This window comes from Homo sapiens, chromosome 2 (genome assembly GCF_000001405.40).
Source record: "Homo sapiens chromosome 2, GRCh38.p14 Primary Assembly".
Classification (NCBI taxonomy): Eukaryota; Metazoa; Chordata; class Mammalia; order Primates; family Hominidae; genus Homo; species Homo sapiens.
Window position 1 is genome coordinate 131,335,224 of NC_000002.12, and position 21,303 is coordinate 131,356,526.

Below are 21,303 nucleotides of genomic sequence, written 5' to 3' on the forward strand. Positions count from 1 at the left end.
GATTGTGATTCTTTTTCCAGTTGATTAGAGCCAAGTGACATCTAAATATGCGTACAGTGCATCAGTGAATAGGGTTTATGTACACAGACACATCATCAATACATAAGACATTCCAAGTATCACATAACTGTGCAGCCGTGCCCCATCCTTTTCTTCCTGGTGTTTTGGTGCAGCCACCAAAATCTGATAGGTATGCCGGTTATGGGAGTAGGTGCAGTTATAGCCAGGCATGATGCTGACTTACCTCACTGTATTTCCTTCTGCTTAATCTTCTGTAGACATGCTGTGCAACTTAACATCACTGCCACCCAGCGGCTCTTATGGCTAGTGAGATGCCAAAGCTGGAAGCCTTTATACATATCTCTACTGCCTTTTCAAATGGTAACCTGAAGCACATCGATGAAGTTGTTTATTCGTGCCCTGTGGAGCCAAAAAAAATCTGTGATTCCCTTGAATAATTCGTCAAATAAAGGGATCCAGGTGTGAGTAGAATGTTGCTCTCTTTGATTCTTTGTAGCTATTAATGAGATGATGAAGTGAAACACTTTTGAAGCAAAATGCTTTGAAACACTGCTAGCCTTAGCTACCTTGTCCCTGCTAGCTCCTTCATCCCCTGGTGGGGAATATACTGCTGAAAGAGAAGGGGGATAGAAAATTCTTAAAGAAACATTTTGCTAAACTGTATAGGATTGCATGAGGTACTTGGGAATATTATACATAGAAGTGGTTTCTCACTTCTTAATGAACTTAACATTGTCACTAGATAAAGCAAGTACATTGTATAGTATAAAAGTTCAGAAGAAAAATTTTTGAGTCAGACATGAGTTCGGCATAGCTCCACAACTAACTAGCTGTGTGACTTTGAGAAAGCCCCTTGGCTTCTCTGAACCCCAGGTCCTTCATTTGTAAAATGGGCCCATTTGATTGTTGTGAGGTTGAATAAAGTTATATAAAACACTTATTGCAGTGCTAGGGAGTGTTTAATATCAGTTAATCAAATGATTAGTAAAGAAGAACTAATGAAGAATAAGAATTGCTCCAAGATCTGGCAGAAGGTCTCTTGACTTCTTTGGTTAAGACACCCTTTCCTTACTGTCCTATTATGCAAGAGAAATAGTGTCTAGGATTTTTCTCTTCTTGCCAAACAGCAGAAACCACTTTCATCCTAGGACACAGCTCGGGTCTCAGGATAGGTTTGTTTTCTGTTTCTTTATTCTGCTCCATTTCACTAAGTTTACCTTGTTTTTTGTTCTATTTTTTTTAAAAACTCTACATAAAAATAATTATACCAGAAAAATGGACTCTTTCACAGTAAATTTATTACATTATAATTTTCTATAATATTGTATTTACATTTAATATATACTCTTTAAAAAGCTTTAGCTTAATTAAGAGTTCATTCCCTTCAGGGGAAACATTTTTATCTCCTCCAGCTCTGAGAATAGATATTTTTGTCTGTCATAAAAATGTTCAGGACAGAGAAGAATGAAAGTCATCTAAAGGACCTGGAGGTTACTTAAAGTTGCTAATAAATGGAGGTTTGCTACATTGATACAGAGAAACATTTTAGAGTGCAGAATTTATCAGGATAGTGGGAGAAAAGGCAGGTGTACCCTGAGGCCCAACATCAAGGCAATAAACTATGTTTAAAACCTCAGAGCATTTTCAGGATAGAATTGACTTCTGTCAGTTACCCTCTTATGGTGTTGTCTCTTGGCAAATGTGATGCTTCCATATTTGATATACCAAGGAGAGGGGCAGACTCCTTTTGTTTCCAGGCCATTTCCTGGGACTCTCTCCACTGCTGATCTCTCTAACACCTGACAGGTCGTAGTGCAATTTGAGGCAGCAAGAGTCTGAGGGTTCATCAGAGAAAAGAAGTAGGAGTTCACTGCTAACGAAGGGCTTCTCTATGTACTCCATACCACCATGTCCAGACACTAAATAATGGGTTTCAAAGAAGAATAAACTCACCTCCCAGAGGAAGAGTTGATTTATCTTCAGGCATTCAGCACTTTCCACACTCCCTCAAGTATGTGATATATGAACAAACTGCAATTGACATTTTTACAAAATTTTTAATGTTCATCTGTCATTACTGTTCTCCAAGGATAACAATTATTTAAGCAACTAATTAGAACCAGGAATGAAATTATTTTATCTCAACAGATACCTTTTGCATGCAATTAAGGAATGAAGTTTTTTTAAAAAAACAGAAAAAGTCATACTTATTATTTGTTAATTCAAAATTAATTAGGACATCCAGGAACAGCTGTCGAGGCTCATTTCTCTCAGCCCTCCCCTTACCTTCATGCTGCAGTCACAAGGAAGTAAGGCCTCCTCTCCTCACACTCTGCCTGCCTTTGCGCTCAAAGCTCTCTGTTCCTAGAGCCTATTTCCCTTTCTGCTTCACCTGGTTAATTCTCACTCAGACATCAAGGCTCCCTGTGAAGCTCTCTGGCTTAGGCAGCCTTCCCGAGTGCCCCATAGTACCTAGTGCTCAGCTTTATTATTGCTTGTAACACAGCTCATTCTGAATGTCTGGTTGCTTATCTACATTTTCCATTAGACAATGACCGTCTCAATGGAAGAGAATATTTCTTGCTCCTCTTTGCATCTTCAGCTAGGGACTCAATGCTTGCTGAATGAATGAAAAGTTTTTGGTGGAACTAGATGATTGTTGTTCATGCTGTTCTGACTGTTTTTGTTTGCTTGTTTTGACTGGAACAAGAATTCCATAGCAAGCTAATATTTGGGGATGCAGAAGTCTTATGTACAAAATATCTATTTATATCCCCACATCTTACCCGTTTCTGATTGTTTTTTTCTTCTTAAACTTTGAATGAAACCTATATGTGAAGCTTTGAATAGCACTTTAAACAAAGCCCAGCAACCCCTCTCCACCTATACCATCATCTATGACTATTTCAATAACTCCTATACCAGACGGAAGTTTTGGTAGTTTTAGAATGGCAAATAACGTTAAAAATCATTATGAATAAATATTAATTTACCTAAACACAGGTTTAGTTTTTTGTTTGAAGAAAATACTTTTTCTTTGATGAGTTCTCTATTTAGTAATTGGCCTGTGTTAAAAAAGAATTATTTTCAAAGGTTTTTAGGTTTCTATTTCCCCTGGGAGTTTATCTTTTAGTGAAACGGAGAAATACCTAGGGAAGAGTTTTTTTTTTTTTTTTTTTTTTTTTTTTTCTGAACAGTAACTTCAAGGGGTCTAGCAGCTGTCATTTGCTCTTAGTATTTCAGCCATTCTTAAGGAACCAGGAGTTAGACATCAAGATAATCTTGAAGCTGTACTCTGGGCATTGTGATCTCAAAAACATAGCCATGACAATGTAAAAGGAAACTTTATTTTTCCAGAAAATCTGTTGAATGGGAATTCTAGTTCTGGAAGATAAAGAAGGATTTGCATTTTTGGCCAGGACCTTTCTGACGGCTTGGGCAGAAGTGATACTGCTCAGTGCTGTTAATAAAGTGAATGGGACTGTGAACTTCAACCTCATGCTAACATCCTGGTCCCTACCTTTGCAGGCCTAACGTCTCTCCTCGTTCAGCTCCCCTGATTTTCTATCTGGCCTATATCCTGAGACTGTCAGGCCTGAGCTCCCTTTCTTTAGCACCTATCTAAAAACTTTAGAATTACCTTGGCTCTGAAATATTCCAGAAAGATGAAATTTGATTTTGTTAGCACAAAAACTTTAGCATGTTAGCATAAAAATATTTTCAAATAACTTAAATCAGAAGTTAATGCTTTTAATGAGTAGGACAAGCATGGCCATTAATCAGTGTTAAACAACAATTTTCCTGGCTCTTATACCTGTAGTTGTCTTCTGCCCCTCATCCCAGCCACCAGTTCCCATCCTGACTCATCTCTATCTTCATATTAACAGCTTCTGCCTATTTGGTGTATTTACCTTGGAAATTTATGGGCATAAATGGATCAGGGATTGCCAGTGAAATTCTGGTTTTCCAGAATAACGGTTTACGTAGAACGTTTATTTTTAAAAATGCATATAACTGACCAAGAAAGGCAGAGTTTTATGGTTGGTGCTTTTCTTATGTTTTAGGTCAAGGTAACTCCTCTTAAGGGAACCAGTGTAGAAGAAAAGGGCTTCTGCACCTGTATAAAAACCTGAAATAACTAGAATTAGGAACTAGAAAAATGGAATCACAAATACTTATTGGTTTATTGAACATATGTAAATAAATCTGAAATAAGAAGGGAAGGGAGGAGATGAATCATTATTGAGCAATCACTGTGAGGAAGACACTTTCACAGACATTTATTTCCATAACTTAATATTGTAGGGTTGATTTATCATCACTGCTATGCTAATTAAGGAGCAAAAAGCTCAGGAAGGCTAAGTAACTCCTTGAAAGTCTATCAAGACTTCCAAGAAAGGTATCCATGGCCACTTGATTCTGAAGCTCATGGTCTTTCCAGTCTACTCACATACTCGGCAGTGTTAGAGATTAAAAGGTGCTTTCTTAGCATATAGACTGTGTTCCCAAGGACCTCACATCCCAGACAAATAGAACAGGGCAGAATTAGACACGTGGGGTGGTGGGAAAACAGTACATATTAAGCCTGGTGGAGTGGAGAGAGGCATATGAGGTGACTTGGAAGAGTGGGAAGATTGTGGGTAGGTGAGATGTGCACACGTGCCAGGCAGGGCAACTGGAGCTGGGAAACCCAGGCATGTTTGGGACACAGCCAGAAGTCCCTCTTGGCAGCACATGTGTGTAGGGAAGCAGTTAGAGATCAAGCTGGAGAGGCAGGCTGGGCTGTACTGTGGAGATTTTGCATACCATGCAGAGGAATTGGATTTAATTCTCTAGGCAGTGGAGCCCCATTGAAGGAGGGCCATGTGTGTGTATGTGGTTTTGTGTGTAATTTTTGGTTGTTTGCTCATTTGTTTTTATCATGGAAAGACACTGATGAAAGTGGGCTTCAGTAATATTGATATGGCCAGGGGTTGGGGGAGGCAGTGGATTAGCAATGTGTTTTGGGAAAGAAAACAAAAAAACAATTGGACATGGCTACTGCTTTGCTTATGGAATTACACATACCAAATTAACTCCAGATTAGAACATGCATACTTGCCATGTTTTACATTTCTAGTACCAGGGATTTAATTCTTTTTTTTTTAATAAATGAGAAAGTAGAGTTTATTCAGTTTAAGTAGTTTTAGTAAGATCATATTATTAGTGAGAACTGGGACCAAACAGATTTTCTGACTACAAATAGATATTTCCATTGGAACAGATATACATCTATAAGTATACAGACATGCATACACATATTTCTTTACTGCTCATAAATCAATTCCAATTAGTCCTTATTAGAATGTGGGATGTATAAACGTAAGAGAATTTTCATGTGAAAATTGACAGATACACTTTTTAATTGTCCTAAGATGGATTTAATTATTTTTCTTTAATGTTATTTTTATGAGAAGTGATATAACTTTATTGATAATGTATACAATAACTCGTTGTTTTGCACATTGTTTGGAAATACAATGTATTTTGCAAGTAACTAAAGCCTAATTTAAATTAAAATTTTAAATTTTCAATCATTTTAATTGTCATTATTATTATACTTTAAGTTCTGGGATACATGTGGAGAACGTGCAGGTTTGTTACATAGGTAGACACATGACATGTTAGTTTGCCGCACCCATCAACCTCTCATCTACATTAGGTGCTGGAAATGATGTGGAAAAATAAGAACGCTTTTACACTGTTGGTGGGAGTGTAAACTAGTTCAACCATTGGGGAAGACAGTGTGGCTATTCCTCCATGATCTAGAACCAGAAATACCAATTGACTTCACAATCCCGTTTCTGAGTATATACCCAAAGATTATAAATCATTCTACTATAAAGACACATGCACACACATGTTTATTGCAGCACCGTTCCCAATAGCAAAGACTTGGAACCAACCCAAATGCCCATCAATGATAGACTGGAAAAAAAATATGTGGCACATATACTCCATGGAATACTCTGCAGCCATAAAAAAGGATGAGTTCATGTCCTTTGCAGGGACATGGATGAAGCTGGAAGCCATCATTCTCAGCAAACACAGGAACAGAAAACCAAACACCGCATGTTCTCACTCATAAGTGGGAGTTGAACAATGAAAACACATGGATACAGGGAAGAAAACATCACACACTGGGGCCGGTTGAGGGTTGGCGAGCTAGGGAAGGGATAGCATTGGGGGATTTAATTCTTTTTTTTTTATTATTATACTTTAAGTTTTACGGTACATGTGCACAATGTGCAGGTTTGTTACATATGTGTACATGTGCCATGTTGGTGTGCTGCACTCATTAACTCGTCATTTAGCATTAGGTATATCTCCTAATGCTATCCCTCCCGCATCCCCCACCCCACAACAGTCCCCGGAGTGTGATGTTCCCCTTCCTGTGTCCATATGTTCTCATTGTTCAATTCCCACCTATGAGTGAGAACATGTGGTGTCTGGTTTTTCGTTCTTGTGATAGTTTGCCGAGAATGATGGCTTCCAGTTTCATCCATGTCCCTACAAAGGACATGAACTCTTCATTTTTTATGGCTGCATAGTATTCCATGGTGTATATGTGCCACATTTTCTTAATCCAGTCTATCATTGTTGGACATTTGGGTTGGTTCCAAGTCTTTCCTATTGTGAATAGTGCCTCAATAAACATACGTGTGCATTGTCTTTATAGCAGCGTGATTTATAATCCTTTGGGTGTATACCCAGTAATGGGATGGCTGGGTCAAATGATATTTCTAGTTCTAGATCCCTGAGGAATTGCCACACTGACTTCCACAATGGTTGAACTAGTTTACAGTACCACCAACAGTGTAAAAGTGTTCCTGTCTCTCCACATCTTCTCCAGCACCTGTTGTTTCCTGACTTCTTAATGATCGCTGTTCTAACTGGTGTGAGATGGTATCTCATTGTGGTTTTGATTTGCATTTCTCTGATGGGCAGTGATGATGAACATTTTTTCATGTGTCTTTTGGCTGCATAAATGTCTTCTTTTGAGAAGTGTCTGTTCATATCCTTCGCCCAGTTTTTGATGGGGTTGTTTGTTTTTTTCTTGTAAATTTATTGGAGTTCATTGTAGATTCTGGATATTAGCCCTCTGTCAGATGAGTAGGTTGTGAAAATTTTCTCCCATTCTGTAGGTTGCCTGTTCACTCTGATGGTAGTTTCTTTTGCTGTGCAGAAGCTCTTTAGTTTAATTAGATCCCATTGGTCAATTTTGGCTTTTGTTGCCATTGCTTTTGGTGTTTTAGACATGAAGTCCTTGCCCCTGCCTATGTCCTGAATGGTATTGCCTAGGTTTTCTTCTAGGGTTTTTATGGTTTTAGGTCTAACATGTAAGTCTTTAATCCATCTTGAATTAATTTTTGTATAAGGTGTAAGGAAGGGATCCAGTTTCAGCTTTCTACATATGGCTAGCCAGTTTTCCCAGCACCATTTATTAAATAGGGAATCCTTTCCCCATTGCTTGTTTTTGTCAGGTTTGTCAAATATTAGATGGTTGTAGCTAAGCAGCATTATTTCTGAGGGCTCTGTTCTGTTCCATTGATCTATATCTCTGTTTTGGCACCAGTACCATGCTGTTTTTGTTACTGTAGCCTTGTAGTATAGTTTGAAGTCAGGTAGCATGATGCCTCCTGCTTTGTTCTTTTGGCTCAGGATTGACTTGGCGATGCGGGCTCTTTTTTGGTTTCATATGAACTTTACAGTAGGTTTTTCCAATTCTGTGAAGAAAGTCATTGGCAGCTTGATGGGGATTGTAGTGAATCTATAAATGACCTTGGGCAGTATGGCCATTTTCACGATATTGATTCTTCCTACCCATGAGCATGGAATGTTCTTCCATTTCTTTGTATCCTCTTTTATTTCATTGAGCAGTGGTTTGTAGTTCTCCTTAAAGAGGTCCTTCACAGCCCTTGTAAGTTGGATTCCTAGGTATTTTATTCTCTTTGAAGCAATTGTGAATGGGAGTTCAATCATGATTTGGCTCTCTGTTTATCTGTTATTGGTGTATAAGAATGCTTGTGATTTTTGTACATTGATTTTGTATCCTGAGACTTTGCTGAAGTTGTTTATCAGCTTAGGGAGGTTTTGGACTGAGACAATGGGGTTTTCTAGATATAAAATCTTGTCATCTGCAAACAGGGACAATTTGACTTCCTCTTTTCCTAATTGAATACCCTTTATTTCCTTCTCCTGCCTAATTGCCCTGGCCAAAACTTCCAACACTATGTTGAATAGGAGTGGTGAGAGAGGGCATCCCTGTCTCGTGCCAGTTTTCAAAGGGAATACTTCCAGTTTTTGCCCATTCAGTATGATATTGGCTGTAGGTTTGTCATAGATAGCTCTTAGTATTTTGAGATACGTCCCATCAATACCTAATTTATTGAGAGTTTTTAGCATGAAGCATTGTTGAATTTTGTCAAAGGCCTTTTCTGCATCTATTGAGATAATCATGTGGTTTTTGTCTTTGGTTCTGTTTATATGCTGGATTACATTTATTGATTTGCATATGTTGAACCAGCCTTGCATCCCAGGGATGAAGCCCACTTGATCATGGTGGATAAGCTTTTTGATGTGTTGCTGGATTCAGTTTGCCAGTATTTTATTGAGGATTTTTGCATCAATGTTCATCAAGGATATTGGTCTAAAATTCCCTTTTTTGGTTGTGTCTCTGCCAGGCTTTGGTATCAGGATGATGCTGGCCTCATAAAATGAGTTAGGGAGTATTCCCTCTTTTTCTATTGATTGGAATAGTTTCAGAAGGAATGGTACCAGCTCCTCATTGTACCTCTGGTAGAATTCGGCTGTGAATCCATCTGGTCCTGGACTTTTTTTGGTTGGTAAGCTATTGATTATTGCCACAATTTCAGAGCCTGTTATTGGTCTATTCAGAGATTCAACTTCTTCCTGGTTTAGTCTTGGGAGTGTGTATGTGTCGAGGAATTTATCCATTTCTTCTAGATTTTCTAGTTTATTTGCATAGAGGTGTTTGTAGTATTCTCTGATGGTAGCTTGTACTTCTGTGGGATTGGTGGTGATATCCCCTCTATCATTTTTTATTGCATCTATTTGATTCTTCTCTCTTTTCTTCTTTATTAGTCTTTCTAGTGGTCTATCGATTTTGTTGATCTTTTGAAAAAAACAGCTCCTGGATTCATTAATTTTTTGAAGGGTTTTTTGTGTCTCTATTTTCTTCAGTTCTGCTCTGATTTTAGTTATTTATGGCCTTCTGCTAGCTTTTGAATGTGTTTGCTCTTGCTTTTCTAGTTCTTTTAATTGCAATGCTAGGGTGTCAATTTTGGATTTTTCCTGCTTTCTCTTGTGGGCATTTAGTGCTATAAATTTCCCTCTACACACTGCTTTGAATGCGTCCCAGAGATTCTGGTATGTTGTGTCTTTGTTCTCATTGGTTTCAAAGAACATCTTTATTTCTGCCTTCATTTCATTATGTACCCAGTAGTCATTCAGGAGCAGGTTGTTCAGTTTCCATGTAGTTGAGCGGTTTTGAGTGAGTTTCTTAATCCTGAGTTCTAGTTTGATTGCACTGTGGTCTGAGAGATAGTTTGTTATAATTTCTGTTCTTTTACATTTGCTGAGGAGTGCTTTACTTCCAACTATGTGGTCAATTTTGGAATAGGTGTGGTGTGGTGCTGAAAAAAATGTAGATTCTGTTGATTTGGGGTGGAGAGTTCTATAGATGTCTATTAGGTCCGCTTGGTGCAGAGCTGAGTTCAATTCCTGGGCATCCTTGTTAACTTTCTGTCTCGTTGATCGGACTAATGTTGACAGTGGGGTGTTAAAGCCTCCCATTATTGTTGTGTCAGAGTCTAAGTCTCTTTGTAGGTCACTCAGGACTTGCTTTATGAATCTGGGTGCTCCCGTATTGGGTGCATATATATTTAGGATAGTTAGCTCTTCTTATTGAATTGATCCTTTTACCATTATGTAATGGCCTTCTTTGTCTCTTTTGATCTTTGCTGGTTTAAAGTCTGTTTTATCAAAGACTAGGATTGCAACCCCTGCCTTTTTTTGTTTTCCATTTGTTTGGTACGTCTTCCTCCATCCCTTTATTTTGAGCCTTTGTGTGTCTCTGCACGTGAGATGGGTTTCCTGAATACAGCACACTGATGGGTCTTGAGTCTTTATCCAATTTGCCAGTCTGTGTCTTTTAATTGGAGCATGTAGACCATTTACATTTAAAGTTAATATTGTTATATGTGTATTTGTTCCTGTCATTATGGTGTTAGCTGGTTATTTTGCTCGTTAGTTCATGCATTTTCTTTCTAGCCTGGATGGTCTTTTCAATTTGGCATGTGGCTGGTACCAGTTGTTCCTTTCCATGTTTAGTGCTTCCTTCAGGAGCTCTTTTAGGGCAGGCCTGGTGGTGACAAAATCTCTCAGCATTTGCTTGTCTGTAAAGTATTTTATTTCTCCTTCACTTATGAAGCTTAGTTTGGCTGGATATGAAATTCTGGGTTGAAAATTCTTTAAGAATATTGAATATTGGCCCCCACTCTCTTCTGGCTTGTAGAGTTTCTGCCAAGAGATCCACTGTTAGTCTGATGGGCTTCCCTTTGTGGGTAACCCAACCTTTCTCTCTGGCTGCCCTTAACATTTTTTCCTTCATTTCAACTTTGGTGAATCTGACCAAATCTGTGAATCTGTGACCAAATTGGTGAATCTGTGTCTTGGAGTTGCTCTTCTCGAGGAGTATCTTTGTGGCATTCTCTGTATTTCCTGAATCTGAATGTTGGCCTGCCTTGCTAGATTGGGGAAGTTCTCCTGGATAACATCCTGCAGAGTGTTTTCCAACTTGGTTACATTCTCCCCGTCACTTTCAGGTACAACAATCAGACGTAGATTTGGTCTTTTCACATAGTCCCATATTTCTTGGAGGCTTTGTTCATTTCTTTTTATTCTTTATTCTCTAAACTTCCCTTCTCGCTTCATTTCATTCATTTCATCTTCCATCACTGATACCCTTTCTTCCAGTTGATCGCATCGGCTCCTGAGGCTTCTGCATTCTTCATGTAGTTCTCGAGCCTTGGCTTTCAGCTCCATCAGCTCCTTTAAGGACTTCTGTGTGTTGGTTATTCTAGTTATCTATTCGTCTAATTTTTTTCACAGTTTTTAACTTCTTTGCCATTGGTTTGTATTTCCTCCAGTAGCTTGGAGTAGTTTGATCGTCTGAAGCCTTCTTCTCTCAGCTTGTCAAAGTCATTCTCCTTCCAGCTTTGTTCCATTGCTGGTGAGGAGCTGCGTTCCTTTGTAGGAGGAGAGGTGCTCTGCTTTTTAGAGTTTCCAGTTTTTCTGCTCTGTTTTTTCCCCATCTTTGTGGTTTTATCTACTTTTGGTCTTTGATGATGGTGATGTACAGAAGGGTTTTTGGTGTGGATGTCCTTTCTGTTTGTTAGTTTTCCTTCTAACAGACAGGACCCTCAGCTGCAGGTCTGTTGGAGTTTGCTGGAGGTCCACTTCAGACCCTGTTTGCCTGGATATCAGCAGCGGTGGCTGCAGAACAGTGGTGGCTGTAGAACAGCAGATCTTGGTGAACCGCAAATGCTGCTGCCTGTTTGTTCCTCTGGAAGTTTTGTCTCAGAGGAGAACCCGGCCGTGTGAGGTGTCAGTCTGCCCCTACTGGGGGGTGCCTCCCAGTTAGGCTGCTCGGGGGTCAAGGACCCACTTGAGGAGACAGTCAGCCCGTTCTCAGATCTCCAGCTGTGTGCTGGGAGAACCACTACTCTCTTCAAAGCTGTCAGACAGGGACATTTAAGTCTGCAGAGGTTACTGCTGTCTTTTTGTTTGTCTGTACCCTGCCCCCAGAGGTGGAGCCTACAGAGGCAGGCAGGCCTCCTTGAGCTGTGGTGGGCTCCACCCAGTTCTAGCTTCCCAGCTGCTTTGTTTACCTAATCAAGCCTGGGCAATGGCAGGCACCCCTCCCCCAGCCTCGCTACTGCCTTGCAGTTTGATCTCAGACTGCTGTGCTAGCAGTCAGAGAGACTCCATGGGCATAGGACCCTCCGAGCCAGGTGCCAGATATAATCTCCTGGTGTGCGGTTTTTTAAGCCCACTGGAAAAGCGCAGTATTAGCGTGGGAGTGACCCGATTTTCCAGGTGCCGTCTGTCACCCCTTTCTTTGACTAGGAAAGGGAACTCCCTGACCCCCGGCGCTTCTCGAGTGAGGCAATGCCTCACCCTGCTTCGGCTCATGCACTGTGCGCTGCACCCACTGTCCTGCACCCACTGTCTGGCACTCCCTAGTGAGATGAACCCAGTACCTCAGATGGAAATGCAGAAATCACCCATCTTCTGCGTCGCTCACGCTGGGAGCTGTAGACTGGAGCTGTTCCTATTCGGCCGTCTTCGCTCCACCCTCAGGGGATTTAATTCTTTTAAAATTCAATTCTGTTGAAATGTTTACTTCAAGAAGCAATGCGTTTTTGAGAGCTAGTCCTGATATATTCAAATCTTAATGACTTAAGTTGGTGGAGCGGACTTCTTTAAATTAGTGATTCCCTAATTTGCCTGACTGTTGGAATTTCCAGGGCATATTGAAAATACAGATTATCCAGACTCTTACCTCTGCAGATGTATTTAGTGGTTCTAAAATGGCACCCAGGAGTCTGGATTTTTCCCAGGGGCCTTGTGTAATTCACACTGATGACCAGGCAAGTTTGGGAAATAGTGCCTTAAGGAGATTTTTCATTAAGCAGTCTTCATTTGAAATGAGGATCATTTATCTTCTAATACCCCATGCTTCCTCTTTCTCCTGCCTTCCTCACCTTCTGTTGTCTTTCAGTTCCTAGAAGCTTTAATTGAATGAAAGTTCCTCATGGATCTGTACCTACTAAAAACCACACTTCTGAAGCTACATGGCCACCAGAAGACATAGCTAGTCTGCCATGTAAAAAAGGAAAGGTGGCATGTGCCCTAAGGGTGCAGGGGTGAGAGGCAGGGAAATGGAGACCCCCACAGCCAGCATCAGTGGCCCTCATCACAGCCCTCCAGGAGATAGGAAAGGAGGTCAGACGTTGGACAGTAGCCTTTCCTTCCTGCTATAGAACACATTGTTAACACCAAAAAAGCTGATCTCTTCTAGGGGAATGGTGAAAGCTGACTCTACAACTTGTGCTTTTAATTTCAGGATGGCACAGCTTCTAAATGGCATCTAAGTTGCTGATATAAAAATGAAAATTCTGTGTACTTTGATATTAGCAGGCTTTAAATACAAACCAGAGTAAGATTAAATTGTTTCTTAATCAAATCGAATAATTTTCACATTGGCAGTCCATTTGGCATCTGGCTCATGTTTGGGCTAGGCTGAGTAGTCTGTGAAAGTCTGGAGGGAAATACAGAGACTAATCCTCCATAAGCATTAGGCTCAGAAATACCCTGCTTCCCTGTGACAAGTTTAAATTGATTTGACGCCACCTTCACCAAACCGAGGTTGGTCAACACTTTTCACCACTGCCACTGCACACTTTGACTTCCAATTTTGCTTCCTGTTCTATGAAGATATCCCCTTCCTTCCTTTCTCACATTCTCCCTATAACCTCATCTTCCTTTCATCCACTCTCTCTCATCATTGTCCATCTCTGCTTCCCAAAACCTTATATAGTGCAGAAATTGGCCAATCAGGATTACCATGTGGAAGAGCATCGATTTACTGAATAAGGTAGCTGGCTCCTGGGGGCAGAAAAGTGATTAGACACAGAGATAAAAATCATAATCCCTGTTCTCCTGGACTCACTGTCCAGTGGGGAGACAGACACATAAACAAATACAACTTGACAACTACAACAATCAAGTGAATTATATAATTTAGACTGGAGAAAGAGAGACCAAATGTTATCATAAGACAGTGTATCCACTACTTACTCTCTAACAGATTTCCTCATAAACCACTAGGCTTGCCAACTTGTTGCGTAAGAAAATTGGAGGGTCGGGGAGGGGAAATACATATGCCTCTTGGCATTTCATTCCGTAAATACATAAATAATGTAATTATTAATGATATCATCATGTTCATTCAATAAGTTTGTAACCCCAAAATTGATAGTAATCTTTAGAAGAAATTGTATATGTGTCTATGCATGTACACGCATAGACATATACATATTGCTTTCTGAAATTTTCAATGACTTTATGCTTCTTCTGAAGCAATTCGAGTTTAGAATTTGAGACCCCTGGGTCAAAACATCTTCTTGAGTATACTGAAGAACATTTCGATTAATTTCAGACATGTATTTTGGTTTACATAGTGTTTTTTATCCATGGTAACTTATTTACTGTTTAAAAACATACTGAGGACAAACAACAGCAGCAACCCTGAATTGAGTGAAAGTCCTGAGAAGGGCTTTTCCCAGTCAGTGCATGTGCGTGTTTACACTAATCTCCTGTCTGAACCTAGGAACTGGCTGAATGAGCTAGCAGATGGTCTGTCTGGCTGTATTATTAATGATAATTTATTTTTATTTGTTTCATTAATTCATTCATTCATTCATTCATTTATTTTGAGACAGGGTGTTGCTCTTTCACCTGGGCTGGAGTAGGGTGGCAGAATCACAGCTCACTACAGCCTTCAACTCCCAGGCTCAAGCAATCCTCCTGCCTCAGCCTCCTGAGTAGGACTACAGGTGCATGCCACCATGCCCAGCTAAGTTTTAAAAACTTTTTTTGTAGAGACAGGGCCTTATTATGTTGCTCAGGCTGGTCTCAAACTCCTGGACTCAAGCGATCCTCCTTCCTTGGCCTCTCAAAGTGCTGAGATTATAGGTTCGAGCCACGACACCTGGCCAGAAATGACATTTTACAGCCAACTATTACCTACACAGATGTTTGATGCTCCCTTGTTGTTTTATTTAAAAATAGGAATGCCTTAGGTTTTTGGCTCATTTTGTTTTATCAAAGATCTTAAATGCAGTTGTGAATATTTTTGTTTACCCTCATAATAGCCTGAGAATTTAGAATGAATATAATTATTGCTATTTTCACAAGTAAAATTGGAATGAGAAGATAAAACAGTGGAATACAGGTGTAACTAAGAACAACAGAGGCAAGCCATCTATAGAATATTAAAATTTCTTGCATGTGTATTACCAACATTTTCTCATGCCTGAAATCCCAGCACTTTGGGAGGCCGAGGAGGGTGAATCACCTGTGGTCAGTAGTTCGAGACTAGCCTGGCCAACATGGTGAAACCCTGTGTCTACTAAAAGTACAAAAATTAGCCAGGCGTGGTGGCAGGCACCTATAATCCCAGCTACTCAGAAGGCTGAGGCAGAATTGCTTGAACCTGGGAGGCAGAGGTTGCAGTGAGCCGAGATCACACCATTGCACTCCAGCCTGGGGGAAAAGAGCGAGACTCCTTCTCAAAAAAAAAAAAGCAAAAAAAAAAAAAACCCAAATAAACCAAACGAAACCAAAACAACAACAACCAAAAACAACATTTTCTAAGACAAGCAAACCTACTAAGCTTTATAAGGCCCCCATCCCCCCAAGTATTATCCTTTCCATGTACCCCAACATTAATGACCGCAACTGGTACTAGCCATGTGACATACAATCCCAGCACATTGTTGGGCTCTGATGTTTTCTAGGAATTTTTCTTTACAGCCTTATTGATATTAAGCTCTATTTTCTGAAGACCTGGTTTTTATAAACTGTATATTTTTGCAGTTGAGGGAAAATGATCTCAGGTCAGTCAATCTGCTGTTGACCCACAAATGAAATGAGGTAGGATTATTGTTAAGATGGAGAGGTGTCTGCATCGTCCTACACTTTTTCCCAGCCTCCAGGTGACCATATAATTAAAATATCCTTGATATTACTATGTAGTTTAAGTTGCTTTTAATTCTAGAAGCCCTCAATCTTTCTCTATTCAATTTAAATGAAAAGGCATTTGAGTATCCAGAACACACTCAGCACTCAGAAGCAAAGCAAGAAAAATGGAAACATTATAGTCAATGCCCATGTTCTACCCCAGGATGAAATGAGGCATTAATACTGAGAGTTGTGATTCTGAATAAGTCTTAACCTCATGCACATCTTAGTTGTTCAAAAATGTGTCATGTCAGCAAGGTGGTAACAGTGAAGATTTTCTACAATCAAAATAGTATAGTTATGTTCTGTTGTATAAAATAGAAATAAATGGACCACATTGGTCAGAAAAATCACACTAGCATATTCTGGCAGCTTAATTTTTTTATTATTATACTTTAAGTTCTAGGGCACATGTGCACAACGTGCAGGTTTGTTATATAGGTATACATCTGCCATGTTGGTTTGCTGCACCCATTAACTCGTCATTTACATTAGGTACTTCTAATGCTATCCCTCCCCTAGCCTCCACGCTAGGACAGGCCCCCGTGTGTGATGTTCCCCGCCCTGTGTCCAAGTGTTCTCATTGTTCAATTCCCACCTATGAGTGAGAACATGTGGTGTTTGGTTTTCTGTCCTTATGATAGTTTGCTCAGAATGATGGTTTCCAGCTTCATCCATGTCCCTGCAAAGGACACAAACTCATCCTTTTTTATGGCTGCATAGTATTCCATGGTGTATACGTGCCACATTTTCTTTCTTTTGTTTTGTTTTATGGAATAAAAAGTTCGGCCTTTTTACTGCATGAAACTAAAATTGGGAAAGGTGGGCATGGATGGGGTGGGAGGGGGTTGAGGGGAGCAGGAGATGCCCTCCCCACCAGCTCCTGGATAATGACACCTCACTTCTTGCGTGATTTCTGGCATCTTCCCGCCTGCAATGCCGGCTCTCTCAGCGTCTTGGAGAAGGGGGGATCACACACTCATCGTCGTGCTTGGAGAATCATTGTCATTCTGAAAGGAGTGGAGGAAGTTCCCTCCTAGCTCGCCCTCATCTGGAGGGGTGCCTGGAGGATTGCTAATACTATTTACGTTGTTAGGATAAGTTTTTGGAAGTCATCTATGTCGCCTGACCCTAACAATCCGTTCATGTGGTGTGGCTCCATGCCGCCCATGCTGCCCATCCGACCGTCCGAGCCGGGACCCATCGGGAAGTTGGACCGGCTGCCTCCAGGCGGCACCGGATTAATCGTTGTGTAGATGTCGCTGGAATTTGTTGAATCTGAGGGACTGGGCATAGTGGGTGTTCCTGGAGGGCCGCCACCACCAGGGAGTCCCACATAGGTACCAGGTGATGAGGAGTATGGAATTGAGTTAGCACTGTTAGGATTGGGCCAGGGTCTGCCGGCTCCCGGGCCCATGTTAATCCCGGGCATGGGGGGGCCGAGGGAATTGCGTGGTGGTCTCATGCCGCTGCCATAATTCTGTGGGTTGGGACCCATGGGCCCCATGCCTCGGGGAGGGTTCATTCTCTGCATTGATCCTCCCATGTGGGGGTGGCCTTGTTGTGCGGGATCCATGGAATTGGGCAGCAATGGCTGTGTCCCAGGAACTCCTCCCGGAGGCTGGTTTCCCATTCTGATCGGGGGGCCTGGGGCCGCCTGCGTATCGCGGTGACAAAAAAGGCTGACTGTGGGGTCCCATCATGCTGCTAGGATTGTGAGGTGGAGGCTGTGCGTGCGGCGAGGGCAGTGACCCCGGAGGACCCTGAAAGAAACCTGGGGGGACTCGGCCTCCAGGCATCCCATCCTTGGGGGAATGTTGCCAAGCACGGGGCTTGGGGCAGCTGCTCCACTATAATCATGAAAGGCTTTTGCTTCACTTGAATGTTCACAAGTATCTCTCCTTTTAGGAGCTGCACAGTAAAGGTCCCAAAATACACACCACCACGAGTGCAAAAACCCAGGCGGTTCTCCCAACGCGATGTTTTTTTCCCAGCGAATCTCCGATAAGAAGGTCTGTGCAGATTTCTGTGCTCCTACCTGCAGTAAATATTCGTAGACGTATAAAGCTAACTTTTCCCCAGCCTGCCCGTCCGAGGGCACCAAGGAGCCTTTGCCTTTGGCAAACATGGTTTGCAGGGAAGAGGGCGCCCAGCCTCCCCACAGCCGCCACCGCTCCGGCTCTCCCGAGCTGCCCCTCGCCCCCGGCCCCCTCCCAGGCGCTCCCTCCCTCTCTCGCTGGCTGGCGCTCTCCTAGCAGCGCTCCCCTCCCTCCCGAGCAGGCGCTGGCTCCGCGCTCTTTCCAGCTGTCAAAGCATCAGGCCCGGCCGCGGCCCCATCGCCCTGGAACTCCTCCCGTGCCGGCTTGGCCTGGGGTGCCGCCGCCGCCTCCCGCAAGGCCGCCCGCTCTCCGGTAGCTCGCGTGCTCGCCCGGTTCCGCTTGCGCGGCCCTCTGCGCCCCCAGCACCGCTGCCGCCGCCGCCGGCGCTGGCCTCATGTGTCACATTTTCTTAATCCAGTCTATGGCTGATGGATATTTGGGTTGGTTCCAACTTTTTGCTATTGTGAATAGTGCCGCAATAAACATACGTGTGCATGTGTCTTTATAGTAGCATGATTTATAATCCTTTGGGTATATACCCAGTAATGGAATCGCTGGGTCAAATGGTATTTCTAATTCTAGATCCTTGAGGAATCACCACACTGTCTTCCACAATGGTTGAACTAGTTTACACTCCCACCAACAGTGTAAAATCGTTCCTATGTCAAGCAATGGCAACAAAAGACAAAATAGACAAATGGGATCTAATTAAACTAAAGAGCTTCTGCACAGCAAAAGAAACTACCATCAGAGTGAACAGGCAACCTACAGAATGGGAGAACATTTTTGCAATCTATCCATCTGACAAAAGGCTAATATCCAGAATCTACAAATAACTTAAACAAATTTACAAGAAAAAAACAAACAACCCCATCAAAAAGTGGGCAAAGGATATGAGCAGACACTTCTCAAAAGAAGACATTTACGCAGCCAACAGACACACGAAAAAATGCTCACCATCACTGGCCATCAGAGAAATGCAAATCAAAACCACAATGAGATACCATCTCACATCAGCTAGAATGGCAGCTTAATTTTTAAAATGCTATATCAATAATTTAACCACACAGATCTGTCAGAATAAATGTTACATTTTAATTGACAATAATTTTTTTGTCTCTTAGAGACAGGTAGATAGACTTCGGGTTCATCAAATGGTTCTTTTTTTTTTTTTTTTTTTTTGAGATGGATGGAGTCTCTCTCTGTCACCAGGCTGGTGTGCAGTGGTGCTATCTTGGCTGATTACAACCTCCGACCCCTGGGTTCAAGCGATTCTCCTGCTTCAGCCTCTCAAGTAGCTGGGATTACAGGCGCGTGCCACCACGCCCAGCTAATTTTTGTATTTGTAGTAGAGACGGGGTTTCACCGTGTTGACCAGGATAGTCTCAATTTCCTGACCTCAAGATCTGCCCGCCTCGGCCTCCCAAAGTGCTGGGATTACAGGTGTAAGCCACTCCGCCAGGCCAGTTCTGACATTTTTAAGAAAGATTAGGCTGATGCTATGGTAACTCAGTTATTCATGATACATGTCATATTAGAGATAGGATAATTCAATATTCATGATTTTGAAGCAATTTCAGAGTACTATAATCACCACACTTGACAGACTTCAGAATTCATTGGAAATCTCTGGAAATAATTAGCAAGTTATTAGCACAGATTCCAAACAGACCTTCAAAATGCATTACATAGATTTGGTAAAACAGATTGTCAGTCTGCCAAAAGTAGTCACTTTGGTTTGATTTGCATTGAATGAAATTTTTAAAATGTAAAGCTAAACTCTTCAGGATCACTGCACTGGTTTCTATGGGACAACACTGAACAGGGCTGCCACTGAAACACCTTGGATGAGAGCCTCAAACTCCCTGAACACAGCTTCCAGCACACTACTGGGAGAATGATTGGGAATCAAAAATGCGTGCAATGAATTTACTTATGAGCTTCTTGGAGAGGAAGTAAAGAGGTTGTATGTAATTACCTCAAATTAGCACTACTACAGATAAAGTAATAATATTGATAAAGTAATTGATAAATAGTAGTGCTAAAGTCATACTAATCAAGTAGTACTAATAGCCCTATACTAGTAGTAATAACAAAGTGGTATTGCTATTGATTCTATTGGTCTGTCTACCTACCTATCTCTCTAGATGGGAGGGCATAGGATTTGGCTGATGAGATTGGGCTTAGCAGTGGAGAGCAAAGAGCTCATGCATGCTTTGAACAGGTATGCACTCAAACCTGGTATCGTGTGACTGTTCTGAATTCCAGAACCAAGGCTAAAAGGTGGAAGTTTTGTTTGACTATTTGTGTGTCACATTTTCCTTTTGGTCTATTGTCTAACATATGCTGCTAGAATTCTTTTTACTCTGACTACCTTTTAGGTGGTTAGATGACGCTGTTATTGATGAGATCACACCCAAGCTGATCAGAGATCCGCCCAATTCTTGCACCTACAGCAAGGCCTTGGGAGAAATGGTGGTGCAGCAGGAGAGCAGAAACCTAACCATCGCCATCATAAGGCCCTCCACTGTGGGAGCGACGTGGCACGACCCTTTCCCAGTAAGCCCACTCACCTGGATTCTGTGTTTTGCTTCCAAATTAAAGTTCTTCTAGCCCAATTACTTTCTGATGTCGTTTCTCCCCCTCCTCCTCCTTCTCTTCCTTCTTCTTCTTTCTTCCTCTTCGTCTTCTTCCTCTTCCCCTTCCCCTTCTCCTCCTCCTCCTCTTCCTCCTCCTCAGGATGTATAGCTAAGTGCAGCCAATCAAGTATGAACCCATTGTACTAGGGCAAAATTCCACTTTGGGATCAGGATTTACCCAGCATGCAGCTTCTCTGGCAGTTACCCTGACTGTCCTAGAGTTGAATGGAGATCTTAAATTAGCTTCTAATTACTCTAGCCTCAAAATTCCCATGGGTGATGGTTTCATATCTTGGCTTTCCCACTATAGTTTAAACATACCGAATGTTCTTAATGGTCAAATTGGTAGTATTGCAACTGCCAGGGTAAACAAGGGTTACAAAGTGCACAGAAGGATCTCAGCTTGGGAACACTGTTTTTTCTAACCTCAGTATAGCGCTATGTCCTTTTGAAAGTACTTTGAATTATACTATCTTCTTTTTTTTATTATACTTTAAGTTCTAGGGTACATGTGCACAACGCGCAGGTTTGTTACATATGTATACATGTGCCGTGTTGGTTTGCTGCACCCATTAACTCGTCATTTACATTAGGTATTTCTCCTAATGCTATCCCTCCCCCATCCCCCCACCCCATGACAGGCCCTGGTGTGTGATGTTCCCCGCCTTGTGTCCAAG

General features: G+C 41.7%; 2 pseudogenes, besides 1 other annotated feature; one reads left to right on the forward strand and one right to left on the reverse strand.

The window, feature by feature from the left end:
* LOC100420006 (fatty acyl-CoA reductase 2 pseudogene) lies at nucleotides 277-20,547 on the forward strand (annotated as a pseudogene).
* Nucleotides 11,617-12,118: an enhancer, noted in NCBI's record as "H3K4me1 hESC enhancer chr2:132104413-132104914 (GRCh37/hg19 assembly coordinates)". NCBI's record gives its function as "activates a minimal SCP1, AML or CMV promoter by ChIP-STARR-seq in naive H9 embryonic stem cells {active_cell/tissue: H9 hESC(naive)}" and the evidence as "EXISTENCE:reporter gene assay evidence [ECO:0000049][PMID:30033119]".
* Nucleotides 16,663-18,215, reverse strand: SSBP3P2 (SSBP3 pseudogene 2; annotated as a pseudogene).